General features: G+C 41.0%; 1 protein-coding gene and 1 long non-coding RNA gene across 3 annotated transcripts in view; one reads left to right on the forward strand and one right to left on the reverse strand.

The window, feature by feature from the left end:
* Positions 1–23052, forward strand: part of SORCS3 (sortilin related VPS10 domain containing receptor 3) — a 623953-nt gene that overhangs the window by 513601 nt on the left and 87300 nt on the right. For both annotated transcript variants that reach the window (NM_014978.3, XM_011539542.2), the window contains 4 exons: positions 2248–2394; positions 4002–4104; positions 9413–9489; positions 12368–12459. In NM_014978.3, coding sequence (NP_055793.1) covers positions 2248–2394; positions 4002–4104; positions 9413–9489; positions 12368–12459 — 419 coding nt within the window. The remainder of the gene's footprint in view (positions 1–2247; positions 2395–4001; positions 4105–9412; positions 9490–12367; positions 12460–23052) is intronic.
* On the reverse strand, positions 964–22871 carry LOC105378465 (uncharacterized). The gene is made up of 5 exons (XR_946286.3): positions 22814–22871; positions 22619–22725; positions 1486–1643; positions 1148–1205; positions 964–1056 (listed from the first exon to the last, which is right to left on the reverse strand). It is a non-coding gene; the product is annotated as an uncharacterized LOC105378465 (long non-coding RNA).

Genomic DNA, 23052 nt, shown 5'->3' on the forward strand with positions numbered 1-23052 from the left:
ACTCGCAGTCCATTTATACAAGACATGAAGCCAAAAAAGTGATTCAGTAATAATGTAAGGGCTTTGAACTATCCAAACACAAGTGGGAAATGTTCCGTTTGTTTCAGACGGGAAGGAGATTGCTGCGGCATTATGTACAACTGCAGGAGAAGCATCCTCACAGCTGCAAGTGGGTTCCCTGGGAGTCTGTCCTTTCTACATCTTTTTAGTCCCCATTCCCCTGGTTTTGTTCTCAGAATATGTGGGACACACAGAAAATGCCCGTCCAAATGGTGAAGTGCTCAGTCGGAAAACATGGTAATGGTAATGGTAATGATTCTTTAATTTGTTAACCTGCTCACCTGGAAGATCACAAGAGGTTGCTGAGTGGCTGGAATTCTTTCTGTGATGCATTGAGCTGGGGGCATCAGAGGGGGCCACAGCCGCTCCCCAGGAAAAACTGAACCGGGGTCAAGGTGTCTGAGTCTGATCCAAATATTTTCATCCAAGAAGTGGATAGCAAGGCCCTGGGTACTTGTGGGAGAGGGTAACTGGTTTAGGGGAGTGAGTCCTCTGGAATCATTAGGTGGTGGTCTAGCAGAAAAGGCACCAGCTCTGTGGCTAAACAGAACACTGAAAGGCCTCCATCAGGTAGAAGGTTCTAGAGAATCCCAGATTCCATTCTCTGTGAGGAATGATTAGTAGTCAGGTTTAGGAGATGCACCTTTGCAGTTGGTTTTAAAGACTGAGGTGATCTGAGGGGCTCATAGTCCCTAGATGAGCATTTGAGATGCTGTCCTTCCTGAAATGGCCCTGACTTTAAGCCATTAGGGCAAAGAGGAGGTCTCTAGGGAGGGCATGGCTCAGACATCATGCCCCTGCCCTACCTTGGTTTCTCTGCTTACCTACCCACTGTTCCAGGTAGCAATCTAATCAATTCCATTGTTGGCCCTTTGTCAAATTCCCCTGGTGGTGTCCTTCCAGTTAATTCTATTCTCCTCCTGAGATTCTCTGTCCATTTGTTTGTTTGTTTATTCTTATTTGGGCTGGCATTCTCTTTCAAGACCAATCAGGTTACTTAAAAAAAGAAGAGAAGACTTTTTATTTCGTCAATTAAATTATGTCATTTGAAAACAAAAAAATAAGCTCACTTCTGTGAAACTCTTACCATTTTCTCCCACTGGGGCATTCTCTCCGAAGTGAGTAAACCTCAGTTAACCATGATACTGGAAGAATGGGGGATAAATACAATTAAAACTTTAAGATATCTGAGTATCACCCACAAAACCTGCCATTGAACCTATTGTTTATATATATTTAAACTAATTTAATTGCCTTTGGCAATATGCTATTTGCTATTTGCCTTTGAAACATGCTATAACTTCTATGGAAAAAGAGTTAAGGGAATCTTTCTTTGATGCAGGATGTTGTCATTATAAGTATCTGCTTTCCTTGCCCAGCATATAGAATATAAGGAATAAAAGTTTGAGTAGAATTTGTGCTTACCCTAGAACCCTTCTGGGTGATAAATCTCCTTTAATCCTCTAGCGGCTTGTTTTGTGGTGATGCTCTTTTCCCGTCAAAATATCAAAGGCGTGCAAATCTCAAAACATGGGAACACTGGTGAGTGCTTTGCATAGTCTCATGGATCCTTTGCCAGCCAACTGGGAAAAAGAAGAGGAATAGGGCTTATTCCACCAATTTCAAAGCGACCATTGGCTGAGTCCCACAGATGATATGGGAGTTATCCAAAGTCACATAGTGAGCTAGTGGCATGGAAAGAGACAGATGCCAGGCCTCCAAGCTGGATCATCTGCCCCAGGATATCTTCATTACTACTAATCACAATGCCTCAACTTCCATTGTTATGAAATACCCATCTACAGGCCTCTTCTGAGCAGAAAAACATGTTTGCTGGAAGGGGTAACTCCTTCAGTTCTTGTCAGCCACTCCCATCTCAGAGGGAATGTTAATAGTTAATTAAAGGTAAAGTCCTATGGAACAAAGTACAGAGACGAGCAAACTGGGAAAAAAACAGATGGGTAAGCATAGAAAGGGACATCTAGGGGGTGACATAAGGTTCAGAGATGAACTTTTTAAACATTTTTCAGAGACCACATGGCATTCAACGTTTCCTATCATGTTCCTTCTTTTCTTGCTTGGAACCCCAACATGCCGTGGGAAATTCTGCGGCTTCTCTAAGGGCTTCTCCAAGACCAAAGGCATGTTGGCCCAGCATGGTTCTCCATCTCTCACCTTTTTTCCTAGGTAGCAGGTATCAAAGGGATATTTCTGGCAAACAAGAAGGTGGACGACCAGGTGAAGACATACATCACTTACAACAAAGGCAGGGATTGGCGCCTGCTGCAAGCTCCGGATGTGGACCTGAGAGGAAGCCCAGTGCACTGCCTGCTGGTCAGTCACTCAGCCTCATGGGAAGTTCACAGGGCAGGCTGGCCACCTGCAGAAGCTGTGTCGAGGGCTTTGTTTCGTCAAAGGGTCTTAGGAACTCAGGTGGTGCAGAGCAGTAATTTTCTAAAACTTGCAGGGCATTGGTGTGTGGACTCAGAGTGCAGCACCAATTGGGTGAAAGGCCCAGTTGAATTATGCAGGCATTTAATGAGGATCTACTATGTGCTCCATCTCATAGTAAGGCAAATAAACATATAAGAGAAGGAGCCTGTACTCAAGGGTCCCAGGCACAGCTCAGTAGTAGTAATACATCTATTAACTGATACTAACATGATGCATTGTGTTTTGGTAAATGCTTGCTAGATGTTGAGGCAAGCAAAAGTTGCTTTGAGAATCCAGGGGGAGCTTAGGCTGGAATGTCCATATGGGACAGTTAATCTATCAGCATTTCCAGGATTCCTGTTGTATGGGATATTGGGGTAGGCACCATGGAAGACATGATGTGTGAGATGGTATCTCTGGCTCCAGGTGCTTCTGCTCTGTGTGAGGAGGCAAGAGGCTTCATTAACAATAAAATCCACAATCTTCAGTGCCCTCTGAATAAGGACTGCTGTAAGAAACAATTCTAAGGTCCCAGAAATGGTTATGTTTCTTCTGAGCAAAAAGTTTCCTCTTGCCACTTATTCAGAAAGATTTATTAACCACTTATCTTATTCTAGACCCTATGTTAAAAATTGGGACTACAATGGTAAATACAGCAAATAGCGCTCTTTCCCTTTGTAATTTTCAGCCTTATTCCATATAATTTTTGCTTCAGGTACTAGGAGGGTCAGAGAGAAATGCCTGCTTACCTCTAGGAATTGGTCACAGCATGCATTTTTTTTTTCCTCAAACCTTGCCCATGGCTTCATCTTATTTTAATCTGATTTTCTCTTTCTTTCTATTTCTTCATCTTCTTATTTGTATTTGTTGTACAGAATATGTCTCTGTAAATCCCCAAGCCCTTTTAAGAACACTCCAATGGGGATAGATGAATAAATAAATGAATAAATAGAGAACACAGACTTATATAGGTTTTAGATGATGGCTTCAAATATTTTAAGTAAAATTATAAGTAAGAACAAAATATATAAAACAGAGACAGAGACAATCTGGCTGAAGAAGGTGGAGGGCCTGGCCTAGTTCACATAGCTTCCACTCTTCACTCCTCCCAGAGGGCCCTTACAACTCCAAGAAGCAGAATTGATGGTCAAGATCAGAAATGCGAGAATGTTAGTGTCATCCTGGTAGAAGGAATGGTCAAGGAGGCTTCATAAAGCCAGCCATGAACTGGAACTTGGATAGGTTGGGTGAGGAAGAGAGGGAAAGGCACGAGATTGTGGTTGGGGGGCAGAGGCAGGAGGGGGTTTATGGAAGGTACTCAGTGGAGCTTCTAATGTGAGCATACCAGCTATCTCAGGTGCGGATATCTCCTGCCCAAAACTGTGTGACTCACCATCCAATGCCTTGCTATTTCTGGGAGCTGAACATCGGGAAGCCCATCTCTAGTGGGGCAGGGGTACAGGTGTCTGGAATTTCCTAGAATGAAACTATTTCTTTCTCCATTTTAGCCCTTCTGTTCCTTACATCTGCACCTGCAACTCTCTGAAAATCCATATTCCTCAGGAAGAATCTCTAGCAAGGAGACAGCCCCAGGACTTGTGGTGGCTACAGGTAAGAAAAACATTCCCTGTGCTTCTTCCTTACTGAGAGTGTCTAGAATAAATTTGTCACCTCTTTTTGGATCATGGACTCACTTGAGCATCAGATGAAAGCTGTGAGCACTCGCCCCAGAAAATATGCAGGGTTCCTCAATACCCATCTAAGAACCTAACATGCAAAGAGCTCCAGACATTTGTAATTCCTAGGCTCATGCATCTTCCCCCCAGACACAGAGCAGTCCCCTGTGCTTAGGAAGAGGCCAGAGTTTCTCTCAAAGTAAACTGACCAATCAGAATGGTTGTTTGTAATAGGGAATCCACACTTTAAGAAAACATGATATATGAACTTCCTAGCTCACCAGATGTAAGTTGGGGTAGTTTTCTCTTTGAACAGATGATTCTTTACAAAGGGTTCCATCCCAGAGCTGTTTTTAATCAGGTGCATGTAAAGGCTTGTTTACACATGGTTAACCCCTTGGCTGAGAGCCTGAGGGCAAAGGGCAGAAAAACTTAAGGTTGCATTGTTGGAATCACTGTCCACTGAGCATCAGTCAGAGATGAAGATAAAGCAACTCTGAGATGAAAGCTAAAGTCTCCGGGGAGTATGCTCTGATTAGCATGCACTGCATTTCCATACACCTTTTCAAGAATACATTGATGGCATAAAGGAAGGCAGCCTGCTAATCTTAGAAGTTAGAGCTCCGGTGTTGGTCAGCTTATTTTTCTAATGAAAGCAGATAAATTCACAGTGACTTTCGGAGCTGGTACATTCTGTTTTCTCTCATCAACCCAAAGCTCTGGTCCCTGGAGTTCCTACTCTCTAGGCATGGCTTCCTTCTCCAAGCCTCCAACTGTGTGAGCTTTTAGATACCACCAGTGATGAACCACTCTCATCAGATTGACAGCTGGCATAGCCTTCTGGCATGTTAGTCAACTCCTGTCAACCCCAGATGGTTGACACCACAGTGGTATTAAGCAAGCCCACTATGCTTAATACCACTGGCTTCAGGGAGCCCAGGCTGAGGAGAGATGAAGGCAGGCTCAGTTGCTGTTCCCCTAGCTGGAGAAGTGATCCTCACACTCTGCAATCCATGTGGATTGGTTTTTCCAACTCAAGGGCTGCGGGACCCTATGCCTCTCCTCAAGACCTACAGGAGGTCTGAACTGGAAGCTACATCAAAAAGTAGGGATGAATGATAAAAGTTAATATTATCTGAATATTTAGTGTGTAGCCAGGCATTGTTCTTTGTGGGTTGACCACTCTGAACTTCAGTGTTTTCATTGGCAAAGTGGGCATAATAGTACCAAAATAATAGAATTGCAGGATATAATGAAACAATGAATTTAAAATGCTTAGAACAATGGCCAGGCGCAGTGGTTCATGCCTGTAATTCCAGCATGTTGGGAGGCCGAGGCAGGTGGATCACCTGAGGTCAGGAGTTTGAGACCAGCCTGGACAACATGGTGAAACCCCGTCTCTACCAAAAATACAAAAATTAACCAGGTGTGGTGGTGCATGCCTGTAGTCCCACCTACTAGGGAGGCTGAGGCAGTAGTATTGCTTGAACCCAGGAGGCAGAGGTTGCAGTGAGCCAAGGTGGTGCCACTGCACTCCAGCCTGGGTGACACAGTGAGACTCTGGCTCAATAAATAATAAATAAATGAATAAAATGCTTAGAACAGTGCCTGGGGCATATTGAATACTCACTATGTGTTACTTATCATCATTAATGTTATAGAAGTTAAAACTCTTCTTACATCAGAAGAATATAATGTGCTCATCTCCTTCAATAAATCCATAAATCCGATGCATGCACTATGCACACAGAGAAACTCAGGAAACTTGTCCTCCTGCTTTCCAGGCTGAGCCCTGACACTTATTAGGTTTGTGCATTTGGCTTAGTTTTTAAACTCTGAGCTTCATTTTTCTCATCTGTAAAACTGTGGGGGTGTTGTAAAAATTAGAGATGGAAGTATGTGTCTATAAGACCCAGCAGAGTGCACAGAGCATCATAAGGTAGTATTAATGGTAGTTGTTATTACCTGTGACCAGCATATTGCTTCTAAATTAGTACTTTGTAAATTAGCAAACACACAGACATTAAAGATTTATTTTTGAATTTTTTTGTCCCATATGTATCAGAATTGCTAATTTCTTTTTATCTCCCCTTGTAATTCTTGAGGCTTTTTGCCATGCCCTGGATCTTTGGGAGGGATATAACTCAGCTGATGAGATCCTGATGAAAAGCCAGGGCTAAGTCACTGGCGCGTGCCTCTTCATACCCAGCTTCTCCTTACCCTGCTTGCCCTGGACACCTTGGGAGGTTATTTGCCATCAGGAAGATAACTATGACGTCAGCCAATTATGCCTTCAGTGGCCTGCATGGAGCCTGCCCCTGCAGGGTCCTTTCCCATATCCATGCCTTCCACCTGCCCTTCAGGTGTCAGTCACCCTGGGCTCTCTCCACTCCCACTGCTGACTCCCTTTTCCCACTTTGCACTGAGATGTGGTCTCAGGGAAGCTGCGTGGATAAAAGTATACCCTGGGATTCATCTCTTAACTCCTGGTTGAGGACATCTCCGAAGGCAGATGGAAATCTAGTATAGAGAGTTTGGCAATTGCCTTTTGCAAGCAGAAACACTAGGGTTCCTAATATCCTTAACACTGTGGTTTCAAGCTAGTAATAAAGACCTCACATCCTTGCAGTGCCTTACAGCATCCAAAGCTTGCTTTTCTTGCCTTGATTGCATAACTGCACGATGATGTAGAAATGGCAATTACTATACTCCTCAATTTAGAGATGAAGAGACTGTGGGCAGGTGGAAACAGGTGTCATGTCCCAGCCCACAATCTCTCTGATTCCACCTCTAGTACTCTGTTCTGTAGCCCTTCAGCCAGACCCGTCTCTGAGCCCCTTTCCGTGCCAGCTCCACAGCTAACCAGACCCCCTGCCAAACTTCCTGTAAACTCTGAATGTTCACACCCTCCTATTGTTCTTTCTGTGGAGGCCCTCCTCCCGCCCCTGCCCCTGCAGGGGCAAGTTGCTTGTATACTGTCAGCTTCCTCCCCAACTGAGCCTGTAGCCACCCTGTATGGGCAGCAACTCCCTCTGGCATGAGTGGTGGTGAGAGAAGCGTAGCTAGCCCTCAGAGGACTTCAATATTCTCTCCCTTTTATTTTATTTTTTTAATATTTAAGGAGCAGAGAAGGATAGCACTGGGAGGAAATGAGGGTGAAAGCAAGTTGTTTAAAACTTCCAAAAAGGGCAATGGGCCCTCCATCATTTACCAGCAAAGCTGTTGGTGAGAAAAGATCCCAGTTCTTCTTCTCCATCTCACTCTCCCTCCTCTCTCATCATACCACTCAAGTGGGCAACAGCTGCATCCCCTTCTTCCAACATGGTTGGCAGCCACTCTAGCTGAGCTCCAATTCCACTTCAGCCAGCAAGGCTCATTTTTCAAATCCTCCTTCTCTGACACCATAACTCCGGCTCTTCCTATCAGAAATCACCCACAGAGCCACCTAAGGACTGTACATGTTCAAAGATCAACTCCTCCTGGGTACATCTTTTCTGTCCCTTCATCTGGGAACCAACTTTCTGGTCTCTGTGATCCGTAACATTTTCTTTCAGAGGTCTCTTCAATTGACAGAAGATATTTCCACAAATAGAGTTCACTGTGAGCCTTGGGTTCTTACCACCATAAGGCCCCCAAAATCCATCTAGTCGAGCTTTGAAAGAGAGGCTAAAGATGTTGACAGAACCAGCTTCTAAGGAAGGTGAGGGATGATAAGCTAGATCCTTAGAAGCCATGCCAGGGATGGAAGATACACAGCTCTGGAGCAACAGTGCTCCTGCCTCCCTCTTTCTCTGTCACCCTTGGTAGACATCTGTTGATCACCACCACATTCTATTCTGTCAAAACCAAAGAATCCTTCTTAACACAATGCTCCAGGTTAGCACAACCACTAAGCGACTCGAGTTGATATTCTCCTCCCCATTTCCCTTTACTTTCCTTACCTGTGTCTTCTAAAACCTGTATCTGGGGAGTTGAATTCCAAATTCCAGACAGAACTCCATGGATCTACTCACCAAGCCTCTCCCTACTCCTCCCACACCTACTGCCTGAACCCTGAGCCCTGAGCCCAGGGGTTATTTTTGAAATCTTGAGTCTCAAAACAAGTTGGCTATCTGTGTGCTTCCTGATGCTGATGGAAGCTTGACAAGCTGTAGCCTGGCTTTAATTTCTCATCTTGAAGCATTAAATGTCAGGAGCTCAATTAACATTTTCATTATTGCATTTTTGTTGTGCTCCTATTTAGGCTACAGATGTGTGGGAGCTAACATTCTCTTCCTGCTATTTTTAAAGAAAAAATATCAGCCAGTAAGATAAACTCTTACATGTTTAGGGTTCCTTCCTGGTTGTCAGAACTTCCTCAAGTGCACATCAACATTGGAACATGATCCAATCATTTGTTTTCCCATTCATTCATTCCACAATTATTTATTGAGCACTATTAGGTTGGGGGCCTCTTTTAGGCTGTGAGAAGAGGGCTGCTCATTGGGAAAACGAAATCAATATAGATGGACTAGAAAAGCTTGACCACTTTCTTTTTAATAAGCATAGCCACAAGGTGATGGAGTGCCAGGGGAAGAAAAAGAAGGGCAGAGAGGAGAGTGTGAAGGGATGGAAGCAGCAAGTATGGTTGGTCTAGGCATAAGCCAGGTGACTTGTTTTGCTGCCATGCTTGATGGCCATGGTATGCTGAGTGTGGTCATCTTCTTCTGGGCACCGTATAATTTAGGTTACATAATCTGTACCATTGGGTCACTCAACTGCCTGGCACTCAAAGGACATTCTGACAAGTTTCAAACATACACACAGACACACAGTTACGCACATACACACACACACACACACACACACACACACACACACACCAGTTTTTCTCAGGCTCCTATGCCAGATTTCTCCATATGTGTCTACTCTTCCACTCTTTGCTTCCTTCAGGGGACACCTGTCAGGAGCAATGTGAGAGATTATTGGTATACAGACTGAATAATTCAAGAGACCTGGACTAATCGATATTGTCTTTGACTCATGACATTGAATGATGCATTTCTGTCATACTATTTAGATTTTTTCCCATATTGGGTTTTTCATCCTGCTGGGCTTTTGATATGACACCAGAAAAGAAACTGCACAAATTAGCTGTAAATATCACTTAGAAAACCTTTACTCTCTGCTCCCCCATCCCTCAGCCCTAAGCACACTTAATTGGTAAACTCCTGACAATCTCAAATGATCTGCTTATGTTTCAGGCAACATTGGCCCGGAGCTCTCATATACTGATATTGGTGTGTTCATCTCCTCCGATGGGGGCAACACATGGAGACAGGTAACTGGGTGAATTGACAAAAAGGGAGGAGGCATTTAGAGTAAGTTCTACCAATCTCTCTCTCCATCCTATAGATTCTCAGCCTCATTATGACTTTGTAATTTCAAAACATTTGAAGCAGCTGTTCAGTTTGGTCAATTTGGCTGGCAGGTTAGAGGGGTAATGGGGTATAATGAGAAGGGCATTGGGCAGGGAATAGGAGGAACTGGAATTTTCCCAGTTCACTTATTCTTTCCTTCAGCCATATGTATGTAACAGGTCCAGATGCTAAGTACTGTGCTGGTTGCTGGGGATACAACTGATGAAACTGTTTTTATCATTAGTGTGCCAAGAGTTCTTGGCAAGCTGGTCTCTTCACCTTTGGGGATGTGTTTCTGTATCTACAAAATGCAAGGATTGGAACATTAAAACTGACAAAGCCATGGAAGTCAGTGGTTGTTTAAGTATTGTATAGACTGTCTTGAGTAAGTATGAAACAGCTTATATGCTTATATATGAGTAAGTATGAAACAGATATATGACTGCATGAAATGTTAATTCAGTTTTACAAACACTTACAGCAATGCTGTCCAATAGAATGTTCAGCGATGATGGAAAAGTTCTGTATCTGTGCTTGTCCATGCAGCTATGGAGCACTTGAAATATGACTACTGTGTCAGAGGAACTTAACTTTTAATTTTATTTATTTTAATTAATTTAAATTTAAATACTCTCTTATGGCTACTATATTGGACAAATAGACTTATACAGTGTCAACTAGGTGTCAGGCTCCAGGAGGTAATTGAATACTTTGGAGTCCCTTTCCTTAAAAAGCTCAAAATTAAATAGGAGAAATGGGTTCGTAGCTAGATAACTATAATTCAGGGTGATAATAATATTTTAGTGGCATTATTAGCATACAAAGAAAAGAGACGAATTGATCCTGCTGGAGAAACCAGGAAAGACATCACAAGGAGGGGAGGCATTTTACTAAGTCTTAAAAGTGAGACAGTTTCTCCGTGGAGAAGACAAGAGAAAGACAATGAATATCTTGTTAGACAAGTTCCTGTTTGGATCCCTTAGTGAAGATTGTCATCACCACCATCATCATCATCCCCATTGCCTCCAGTGTCAGCACTACCAGCGTTGTAAAAATTAACAAGTACTTACGAGACAAAAGCAACTATGTCAAGTACTGCAAGGCACACAGTCAATAATAAGTTAAGGTTCCTACCCACAAGGCCATAATCAGGTGGCTGGGGAGCAGATACATAAATAAGATCATACCCTTCAAAATGTAAAATAACCTATTACGAGAGCCAAAGGAGGGTGGAAGCTGGAATACAAACTCATCTGGTAAAAAAAATCTCCTCATAGGCAAACCATTTCTGGAGATCTCTCTACCTCAAGAAGTAGCTCACTTGACCAACGTTGTCACTACTTTTTCTTTCCTCCTTTCATAAACAGCTAAGGAATCCACTTTTTCACTCCAGTACTAGACAGGGCAAAAATGAGCAGTGGCCAGATGGTAAAATTAAGAGGAAAGGATAAGGATAACTTCTCCCTCCTCCCCAGTGCCTCTTCCTATGTTCCTCATTCTTAGGGTTCAACCCAGCATCTCCATTATGTGGCTTATCACAGAACCATCCTTTAAGCTCTGGAGAGAAAAGCCTAACATTGCAGACTCAGAGTCTATGTTTATATCTGGAATATAAGTGAATCACCCTTAGGTCCTTTGTGCATTGGGGCTCATCATTAATAGGGACATTTTTCTTTTCTTTGAAGATAAATATGTAAAAAAAGAGGTTTAGGACTGAGAAACTACTTTTCTCTCTAAGGTTCCCTGGGGCATATATATAGGAGGCCCCATTCCTCTTACACATTCACCCCTTAAATCTGACTGTATCGTCTCCTTATCCTCTTCTAGCCCTCTTCACTTAACCCACCATCCCAACTTCTCCATCTAGGCTGCATGAACCACCATCAGTGGTTAAGTGCTGTAGGAATTCTCCAAGCATACTTTCCCCTAGAAGATCTACAGTCGAGATTAGTTCTCTGCTGGAGAAATAGTTTTCCTGTTTAAGGTTGGAGATATAAAAGTCATATCTGGTATAAGCATTGATATATGTGGGCTTAGGTCTGAAATTCTCTTAACTCGGAACCTTGTATTGAAGTCAGTGCTTAGAAAATGCCTATGGGTAGATGGAGGGATGGATGGTTGGATGGAATACTGAATAAGGGAATGAATGAGTGAATGGATGGATAAGTAACAGACAAATAGATGAAATAAAGAATGAATAACGTTAGGTCCCTGGAAGTACTGTGTTTCAATGACCACTTAGAGTAGGGATTCATAGACACCCAACATGGGTCTTCATCCAACTTGCAGGGAGGTGGTGGCTATTTCAATTATTAGTTTTACCATAGTGGGTAGGAAATTGTCTTTTAAGTTCCTAGATAATGTATAAACAACACTATAAAACACAGACTATTGACAAATTAGCAAACATCTGAATAGATGAGGAAGAAGAGAAGGCTGAGTAGTAACTTAATTAGCTGGAAAGATAGGGAAGTTTCTTCAAAGTCATACTTCCGTTGGGTTACCTAGTTGAGCATGCACCTTGTTGCTTCACCTTCATGTAGCATGCTGGTTCACAGTACTAGTAGTGGAAAGAGCCCTGGAAATGCAATTTGAGTGGCCTAGGGACAGTTATTTGTTTTCTGTGAGCCCATTTCCTCATCAATCAAATGGAGATAATACTTGCAAAAACTATCTGATAGTGCTGTTGGAAGGCTCAGAACCTAGATGAAACAATATATGTGAAAGACTGTAAACTGTTAAGCACTATGCAAATGTAAGGTGTTGCTATGATTGTTGTTGTTGTTGTTGTTGTTCCAGATCTTTGATGAAGAGTACAATGTCTGGTTCCTAGACTGGGGTGGTGCCCTCGTGGCCATGAAACACACACCTCTGCCAGTCAGGCATTTGTGGTAAGGAGAGCTCCCTACCCTATTAATGAGCTAATGAGCAGCTTTTTAGTGGAGAGGATTGTGATGAGTTATTCTGCATGGTTTTGTACCCATTTGTACATTTCCTCATCCATTTATTTATCCATCCATCCATTTAATAGCCTTTACATCATCTAACTCATAAGCAGCAATAGTAGGCCAGATAATTCAGATGGGGAGGTGTAATGAATGGGGTGGGTGGTAATGAGTGGTCAGATAAGGCAGAAGACAGCAGGAAGGACCTGCAGTTCAAGTAGCCAAGATCAGTAATCCAAAATAGGAGAGATGGAAATTGGAAGAGGAGGGTTAGGTACATGTAACAGATACTGAGTTCAGTTCTAGAGAAGTTGAGTTAGTGGTTTCTATGAATATTTCAGCAGAAATGGCCATGAGTTGTCAGATATATTCATCTGAAGTTCGGGAATGGTCTAGGCTGACACTTTAGCTTTGAAGTCATTAACCACTAGGTGGTAGTTAAAGCTATGGTAGTGGGCTCAATGCCTCAAGAGAGTGGGTACAAGGAGAAACCAGGGACTCCTATGGACTCTGCTGAAAACCAATATTCAGATGGCAGGAAGAAATTATGGGACGGACTAAAGAGAAATGGCCAAAATATAGAAACTAAGGGGAAATATTTTCATGAATGCTGAAGAAAGGGGTGATTAATAGCATCAAATTCTACAATCAGATCAAGTCAGTTATGGAATAAAAAACAACCTAGGATTAAGCAATAAAGGAGGTTTTTCATGATTTTTGTCAGAGTAGAATTGAAACAGAGGTGGGGATGAAAGTTAGACTATAATAGATTTATAAACGAATGAGCTACTGAATGGATGATAAGCAATGAAATGAAATAGAGACAGTATAGATTATTCCTTTCAAAGAGTAAGATTATGAAATGGAGCTGACAGTGTATATGCAAGACCTTCCACAAGGACAGAGTTGAATGAGAATAGATGATGATGATGATGACGACGATGACAACGATGACGACAACTTGTTGCTGTTGTTGTTTTGTGTTTTTGGAAGGGAATGGATGAGTCTCATTTGTATTTATGCCCTGAAGGGAAAGAATTTCACGCTTCAGATTCAGCAAAGTGAATATTTGGAAGAGTGAATATTTGTGGGTGGAGAATATCCTATCTAGAGTACAGTTGGTCGGATTCACATGGGCAGCAAGGTGGACCCTAGCCTAACTACCAGGTCTTAGATATTGGGAGATAAACAAGTTTAGAGTAAGAATTTTACTGGAAAGCATCGGACTGTAATCAGGAAAGGCTTAGAATTCCCTAATGCCAAATCCAAGCTTCAGTCCTTTTGGCAAGGACTTAAGAAGGATTCTCTCAATTTGACCATTTTAAGTGAAACCGTATGAAATCGCCATTTTTAGGTCAAAAATGATCAAATATTACCAGTTTCTTAAAGCTTAACCTAGCTTATAGTGAAATAGTTCTACCACTATGATATGGAGAGATTGTGCATATAAATGTTGAAAAGATGCATGGAGCCATTTGTAAGAGGAGCGCTCTCCCACCTCAAGGATGAGCTTGTAAAAGTTCCCAGTGTAATTGTTTCTTATCCTTTTACTACTGATTTATATAGTTTTTTGGTAGTATCCAAAGACTAGAATTGCTTGATATTAATGATAGTCAGTATTTATTAAGGGACTTTCCAGGCACTGTTCTAAACCATTTACATGAATTATCTCATTTAATGCTTGCCCAACCTATGTATGTAGGTACCTTTTTATCACCCACTTATAATGGCATCAAAAAGCAAACATGTTAAATACCTTTCTCAAGGCTAGACATGTATACCTGGCAGCACCAAGTTCGATTTCTGTCATGGATGCTCTTCTGTTCTGGCTGCTAATTTTCTATATACTATAACAAGTACACCTAGGCTTATGACATAGTCCCTGCCCTCCAGGAGACTATACTCAAGATAAGGTGTTTAGGCAGTACATGTGTGACTAGAAGTGAAAGCAATGTCTGCTAAAGGATGCCAGCTGTGTGTATTGCTGGAATACTGAAGCCTGGTGTGTAAGGAGCCTGGCATCCTTCTCTCAAAGTTCAGCCCTCATGTCATCTCCTGCAGCAGGTGATGTGAGGGCTGACCTTTGAGAGAGGGATACTAGGATTTACAGGAGAGGTGAGAGGCAAGCCAGGGAAAGAAGAAACTTTGACCGAAGTCCAGAATTCAAGTAATGTAGGGAGTGTTCAGGGTACTATTTGATTGAGACCAAAAATGTAAATAGAGGTGGGTAGGACTCAGACGAACTTACATGCCAGTTTAAGGGATTAAAGTTGGTCTGGTAGGTAATTTTTTCTGCTAACAAAACCCATCTGCCTCTGTAGAGGAAAGAGCTATCTCTATTGTGGACTGAGTAGGACTTGCACTCTCAGAGAAGACAGCTTGAGTCTTAAAACAAGCTTGTTTTTAAACCAAGCAAGGCAATGTTTCTTAGCTCCCATCATGTTAAAAACTTCCATCTAAATCTTCATAAGAGAGTTGATAAATGTCCTACAGACAGACTTAGCTGGCCTGGTTTCTTCCCTATAAGTCCTGGAGAAGAGGCTAGCAACCGACCCTTAAACTTGGCCATCACTCTCCTTGATTGTGGTAGGGACCTAGCATGCACTTAATCATTGATTCTTAAAAGCATTCTGCAGAAGTTTCCTTGTGCTGAGGAAAGAAAGAGTTTATTTTTGTCATTTCCTTTTGGTGGTAGAAGAGAAGAGCATATTTGACATGGCAAGAGTACATGGAAGAGAGTGTTGGTTTTGTCAAATATTGGCATCCTTACATCTAACCGTCCAGTCTGATCCACAAAAGTTTATCTCCAAAGACTGCCTCACTTCCAAACGGAGTACTTGTCTGATTATGCCTGGAAGGAAACCATCCAAGTTGGGAAAATTACTCAATATTCATTTAGGGATATTTATGTAGGACCAAATCATGACTCTCAAAGTCATCACTACTAAGTTTGAGTTTTCCCTTGTTCAATGTAATATATCTCTTTTCTTGGTAAAAATGTTTATAGAGTTCAGAAAAAAAAAAGAACTGCACTGCCACTGAATTTCCTCTTATAATAACAATGATAATATCACCCTCCATTTGTTTGGCTGTTCTAACTTACAAAGTATTAAGAATGATTTTTCAAACTAAGCTTTTGAAATGGCATTATCCCATTTATAGGATGTTGATACTGCCATTTGTCATAAATGCTACAAATGTTTTCTTGAACATGACAGAGACCATGATTTTTGCTTACTTGCCTTTCTATGAATGCCATTCTCTAAAGCAATCCCTCGAAGGGGTTAAATGCCAGCTGTTGAGTATATGTGTTAGAAAACAACAGCAACAACAACCAACTCATTTGGGAATTATCCTTTGCACTCCTCTTTCAAAGGCTAAGTGAGTGTTTTGTAAGGGCTTGACAATGTTATTATCATCAATGTTTTCTTATGAAATTGTTGACTGATCTTGTCTCCTGCTTGTGAGATACAAGCTTCTGAAACTTAAGCCAGCTTTTTCTTCACTAGGAGCTTCTAATTAAGTGACAACCCTCAAGGTAAACAAAGCTCATTTTAAGAGGAAGATAGGTTAGGTAATCAGTTCATTGCCATTTTCTGTCATAGATCTCAGACTGACATTGTTTTATATACAGATGTATGTATATTAATATTTGAATAGGAAAAAGACACCAGATTACCCACTGGGATGTAGTGGCTCTCAGATTTAAATAATAGCTACATCACCTTTAAGAGAAAATAAGAGTAATAATTGAAAAGCTGGGGAAACTTTAGCTAGGCTAACTAGGCATGTTGTTTCCTACAAATTGAAATGATAGGTAGCCAGATAGGCGTGAACGCAAAACAGCATACAAATGAATCCATCTGTTTGTGACCATGTACTTTTGGATGCATTGAGATTAGAACTAAGTGCTATTTCAGGGAAACCCTCCATCTCCTTTGTACCTGAGAAGCATTAGAGTGAGATAAACAATGGGCCCCCACTGAATAGAGAGATCTGATGAAAACTCACAATCGGCAGAGCACCTAATGGGCAGGTAGACGAGGGTGTGACTGTTTGCTTAGCCCTGACAAGCTGTCAGTGTCTCTCAATGGGATGTTCTTGGAAACAGAAAGGAAAACATCACCTGGCCTTTTGTGTTTCTTTGGTTGTTTGTGCTAGCATTTTGTTCAGAGAAACTTTCAAATGAAAACAATAGTTCCAAACAATACATGTCTCTGAAAAGCAAAAGTGCATGTACTGTTCTGAAGAACTTCCAGGTGGCTAAAATGCTACCACCTCATGTACTGGGGATAAAATGAAATGGAGCAATACACCTTACCAGAGGGAGGAACATTGATTCTCAATGACCACTGTAGCTCTCTATTTCTGTGCTAGAGACTTCTGAGGAGGATTCTGATTGTTATTGGCAGATTCTATTCCTTTTAGTTTATGTCATGTTAGTATCATAGTCATAGACACCTGAAGTAGGAAAAGGTCTTATAGAAGTCCTTTAAACTAGTATTATACCTGGTGTAGCTGATAGTTTTGTGACACCCCCAAAAAGTTACCTCACTTTACCAGAATATCACAGTGCTAATTGACCTGCAAATGCCCACCTTACGTAGTTCCCATCTTGTATAATGGCTTTAGTTGTTAGAAAGATTGTTTTTCATGCTGAGCAATAGTAAATCTACTTGTAATCTCTGTGCATTGACCTGTAATCTGCCACTCAGATCTATGCAGAATAAGCCTGCTACAGAGTTACGTATGATTTTTAGAAAAGTACAGCTGGGAAGGACCTCAATGTATTTCTTAGAAATACCTTAGGCTAGAAAAGCCTTTTTAAGTTCTGGGAAATGACATGATATGCAACTCAAGACAGATTTTATTCATTTGTTCATTTATTGCATACATATTTGTTGAGCATATGTTATTTATCTAGCGTTAGAATAGGGGTTGGGATACACTGTTGAATGGTAGTGTGTACTTGGGAACTTATATTCTTATCCACAAATATTTGACTGTTCTCTTTAGAAGGGTCACATGGAAATCTTTATTCTATCTGTATGTTATTCCCTTATTCTATCTGTATGTTAAATAATTAATAGTTCCACCTATCTAACTACATTCTGTCTAATTTCCTTCACTGACATTATCCCTTTCTGGTAGTCGATAAATAGCCCTTTAAAATATTTGGAAACTTTCTCATTTACAAAAATTAAGATGCAATGGTAATTAATTCAGTTTTTCTTCTTCTTTTTCCCTAAGCTGCCTAAAATTCATATAACCTGTTTCTAGAACCATTTGCTTTTTACCTTTAATTACTCTTATTGTCAGTTTTTCTACACTTATTAAAATTGAACATAGTATTTAGGATTGGGTAGAAGGATGATTTCTTTTCTTATGCTTGTAATATATCTGTGAGCACATCCTACACTCACGGTGGCTTGATTACCTCTCATGATAGTGGCATTGCCAGAAAATATTTAACTTGTAGTTGACAAATGACTCCAGTTTCTTTCCAGCTTTATATATTTTATTAGCTAATTTCATTTCTCTAGTGGTAGGTCTTGGTGTTTTTGTTTTTTTTGTATTAAGTATTCTGCTTTAAGTTGTTTCTGTCTTATAAATGACTTCCAAATTTACATCCCTAATTATGATGAGAAATCTAGATCCATCCATCAAAAGGTCTTCTTAACAATATTACAGTATGGAAGTCCAAAAAGCATCAATCTTGACATGGACCAAAACAGAAACAAACAGATGTTAAACAAAAATTAGCTGGGTGTGGTGGTAAGCGCCTGTAGTCCCAGCTTCTCAGGAGGCTGAGGCAGGATAATCGCTTGAACCCAGGAGGCAGAGATTGCAGTGAGCCGAGATCGACTCACTGTACTCCAGCCTGGCAACAGAGCGAGACTCTGTCTCAAAAACACAAAAAAACAACAACAAAAAAAGAAAGAAACCAAAAAAACTGCTTCTTCTGTTCTTCTAATTTCCCCCTCAATTGTTTAACACTCCCCCAAATCAATATTTTCCATGACTTCTTTCTTTTGCTCATGCAACCTCTATATATTTTGTTACCAAATTCATTGACTTCATCTCTAAAAATAACCTAAATATTTCCATTTTTTTTCCACTATTAATAATCTTCATCCAAGCCCCATCTTGGTGTGGTCTCTTAAATTACCACCCCTCCCCAACTCATTTCCTTGAATCCACTTTGGGTGTTGACAATCCGTTTATCACAGAGAAGTGAAACTTGTCTTTTAAAGCTTAAATCAAATTATATTATTTCAACTGAAAATAAGGTCCTTCATGATTTGACTTCTGCCTTATTTTCTTCTACTAATTCTTTCAACTAATCCCTTTTCACACTAAGCTACAGCCACTGACCATCTTTCTGTTCTTCTCACAGGGCAGCTTTTTCATATTAGACCTTTCCTCTGTAATGGTTTTCTCCTGAATCTTTACATGGATACTTCCACTTATCATTTAGATTTCAGTGTAAATGTCACCTACATAGAAAGGGCTTTCTTAAATTTTTAGTAGAAAGTAGCTGTTTGGTGACTATCAAATCACCTTATTTTAGTTGTTTCCATGATATTTATTTCTAACTCATAGTTTTGCATTTATTTATTTCCAAATTGTTCATCTCCTCACACTAGAAAGTAAGTTCCGTGGAAGCTAGGACCTTTCCTTTTCTGTTCATTTCTGTATCCCTAGAACTGAGGTCACTGCCAGATCAGGCACATAGTAGTAGGCATCAGTAACATTTTGATAAATTCATTTTATTTGACTTTGATTCTGTAGTCCTATGTTGCCACTATTTGGAGATCAATTGGAATTTTACTTCTGTCTCCCTGAGTATTGGCAATCCTACTGATTTCAGTTTCCCTGTGGAGCTATTAAGGAATTCACAGTTCCTTTGTCTTGGCCATTAATGAGCTACTGACCTGAGGAGGAGAAGGTACATCCCTTGGGGATACCATTCAATATAGAATTCAATATACAATATATCACCTCAGGATATTTGAAAACTTCTAGTCATCAAAATAATAATAATAATAATAATAAGTTTCACAAATGGCAGCCTATCCAGACCCAAATATTTTATAACTAAGAGATTAAGTTTTCTAATGTTATTTTTTTTGGAGTTTCTTTAGGGAGTTTTATTCTTCATAACTGCCTCAGTGTGAGAATAAAGTGTTAGAAATCGCTGGTCTCAGATCGCCCTAGCTCTAGAGTCCTGCCCACTTGCTTGTGCTTACTTATGTCATCTTTGGGCTTCAGTTATTGTCTATGCTACCTTTTCTACCTGGACGTTGTTGTTTATCATCCTTCCTTTAGGTATCTGCCGATCCGCTCTTTCCTCTAGCAGGCATTTTGCTCCTTCCGTGTGAACTCATTTCATGTAGCAGGACCTTGATCATCTACAATTTCTCTCCCCATCTGGACTTAGCTTTGCCTTGGAGGTCGTATCTCAATACTGGAAGGCTGCGATGGTCTCTCCGTGTCGGCTCTCTGTGTGTCTTCTCTTCATTGTATAAACTAAAGATGGCTGTCCTGTGCTCTGCTCATTATGGCAGTGATGTGAAGACGACTCCTTCCCTGCAATGCTCATGGCACTCACTGCAATTTGCTCTGCTAATGCTGACCTTTTTTATTCATTTATTTGTTTTGAGATGGAGTTTCACTCTTGTTGCCCAGGCTGGAGTGCAATGGCACAATCTCGGCTCGCTGCAACCTCTGCCTCCCAGATTCAAGCGATTCTCCTGCCTCAGCCTCCCAAGTAGCTGGGATTACAGGCATGCGCCATCATGCTTGGCTAATTTTTTTTTTTTTTTTTTTTGTATTTAGTAGAGACAGGGCTTCACCGTGTTAGTCAGGCTGGTCTCAAACTCCTGACTTCGGTGATCTACCTGCCTCAGCCTCCTAAAGTGCTGGGATTACAGGCCACTGCACCTGGCTCATGCTAACCTTTTATTGATAAGGAAATCCTGAGAATGAGACAGAGAGAGGCCTTAAATTCACTTTGGCTTTCATCTGCCAAGACAAAAACCAATTTACCCAAAGTCGCCAAAACAAACCAAACAAAAAACCCAACTAATACTTTCTTACCTTCCGGACTTATTGGCCAGAGTTGACTTGTTAGTAGCCACGACACACTCTGAAACAACTATGATTATTTTAGGAACTGACGGACTACATGGTAAGAAAAGTAAAGTTCATTTCCAATTATACATGTTTTCACTTTTGAAATGAGAAACCTGTTTCTTTGACAAGCAATTTAGATATGCCCAACTTTCTTGGGGCTAGTTTAAATGATTATTTAGCCTTCAATATATTTTTTTAAAAGGCTGAAATAATCAAGTCCTTAAAATTCAAGACAGATGATGATAATTTAGAAACTCATGAAGATGTTTATGGCAGACTGTCTGCATTTCATTCGTGAACATGGATCAAGGTATACCATAAATGCAAAAATTGTCTGAGAGACTGGTTACTTTAGCTGGGTTAAGAGATTGACTTTATTATTGTTTTTAATCTGTACATTAGGACAGAGAGGATAAAATAGAATAAAATAGAGAGAGACAGAGAGATAGAAAGACAAAGAAGTAAGTGAGTAGAGAGTGAACCATGTAGGCTGGCTGCTAATGGGGTGGTAATTCACACCCAACTTATGAGTGCCAGTATAAGTCATGCTTGAGAAATGATTGGATGGATTTAAAGAGGGCCCGTCATTATTCCTTATTATTTCATTCATGTATTCATTTAACATGTATATAGTATCAACTATATGCCAGGTTTTCTGTTAAATACTAAGAATAGAAGAATTAACGGTATGGTGTTTGACCTAAAAAAAATACTCCCAGGTTAGGCTGGGCATGGTGGCTCACACCTGTAATCCCAGCACTTTGGGAGTCCGAGTGGGAGGATTGCTTGCAGCCAGGAGGTTGAGACCAGCCTGGGCAATAAAGCAACACCCCACCTCTACAAAAATAATTAAAAAAAAAAAAATTAGCCAGGTCCAGTGGTACACACCTGTAGTTCTAGCTATTTGGGAGGCTGAGGCGGGATAATCACTTGAGCTGAAGAGTTCAAGGCTGCAATGAGCTATGATCACGCCGATGCACTCCAGCCTGAGCAACAGAGTGAGACCCTTGTCTCTTTAAAAAAACAAAAAACATGGCCAGGCACGGTGGCTCATGCCTATAATCCCAGCATTTTGGGAGGCCTAGGTGGGTGGGTTACGAGGCCAGAAGATCGAGACCATCCTGTCTAACACAGTGAAACCCTTTCTCTACAAAGAATACAAAAAAATAGCCATGCTTGGTGACACGTGCCTGTAGTCCCAGCTACTCAGGAGGCTGAGGCAGGAGAATCACTTGAACCTGGGAGGCGGAGGTTGCAGTGAGCCGAGATCGTGTCACTGCACTCCAGCCTGGCAACGGAGTGAGACTCCGTCTCAAACAAACAAACAAACAAAAACCCTTCACAGTGTGGTGGGAGAATCAGACATCTTATTTACCATTATATATATTATATATATAAATATTATGTGCATATATTAGGATTTATGTGTGTGTGTGTGTATACACACACACATACTGTGCGGAGCATTGTAAGAGAGATATATTTGTGTTATATTTGTTATTAAGGGGTTTTTCAATGATAAGACATACATGATCTCTGAACTCGCAGAGTTTATAATCTTGAGTTGAGATATTCAAGATCAGTTAAGGAGTCAGTAGTCAGCACTATGATAGGAGAAGGCCTGGGTATTATAGGAACATACAGAAGGGAATTTTAATCCTAAATTATGGAAATAGAGTAGAATTAAGAATCAGCCAGAACAAAAATGAACCTATGATAGAGGATCCTATGATAGAGGATGAAGAAACTAAGGCTGTCTTGGGAAAGAAGGGATGCTGAGAAAAGCTTCTCAGAGGAGATGGTCCTTGGGCTATGCCCCCTGGTTAAATCAAGGGGCAGAAAGGTCCTTGATAATATCAAGAAAGGAAAGGAAACAAGCACTCAGAATTGGTCAAGTCTCTTCCACTAGTTACATCTCTTTAAAGCATTGCAGGTTCTGTTTCCACAAGGGGCCAGACCTTCCTCTTACCTTTGGATGAAAGATGAGGCAGTGTTGCTCAGAACATCTCAGACTCTCAGTGGTCATCCCTAAAAGCCCCTTAAAGTGGCACTGGGGAGGGAAAATGGTCCTAACATCTGTTTTGAACAAATAGAAAATTGCTGTTTGTAAGGTTTGATCTGAAAGACAAACCCCCTCCCTTTCCATTGGGTCCACCAGCCTTACTCAGTTTGTGTCAGAACCTCCAAGGGCTGAATGGATTGTGCTGTAAATTGAACCTCAGGTTCCATTCTGAGTACTTGAAACGTGACATTCCATCCACTAAGCCCTCCTGCTTGGGCTGTTTGTCGATTCTAATGTGTTGAAATATATCTGCAACTCTAGGTGCTGTCTCCGCCCAAGTCCAGAAATGCAGTTTTGATCAAATCTCATAATAATATGGGGAGATGTTGAAGATTAAAACC

Source organism: Homo sapiens, chromosome 10 (genome assembly GCF_000001405.40).
Source record: "Homo sapiens chromosome 10, GRCh38.p14 Primary Assembly".
NCBI classification, from domain to species: domain Eukaryota; kingdom Metazoa; phylum Chordata; class Mammalia; order Primates; family Hominidae; genus Homo; species Homo sapiens.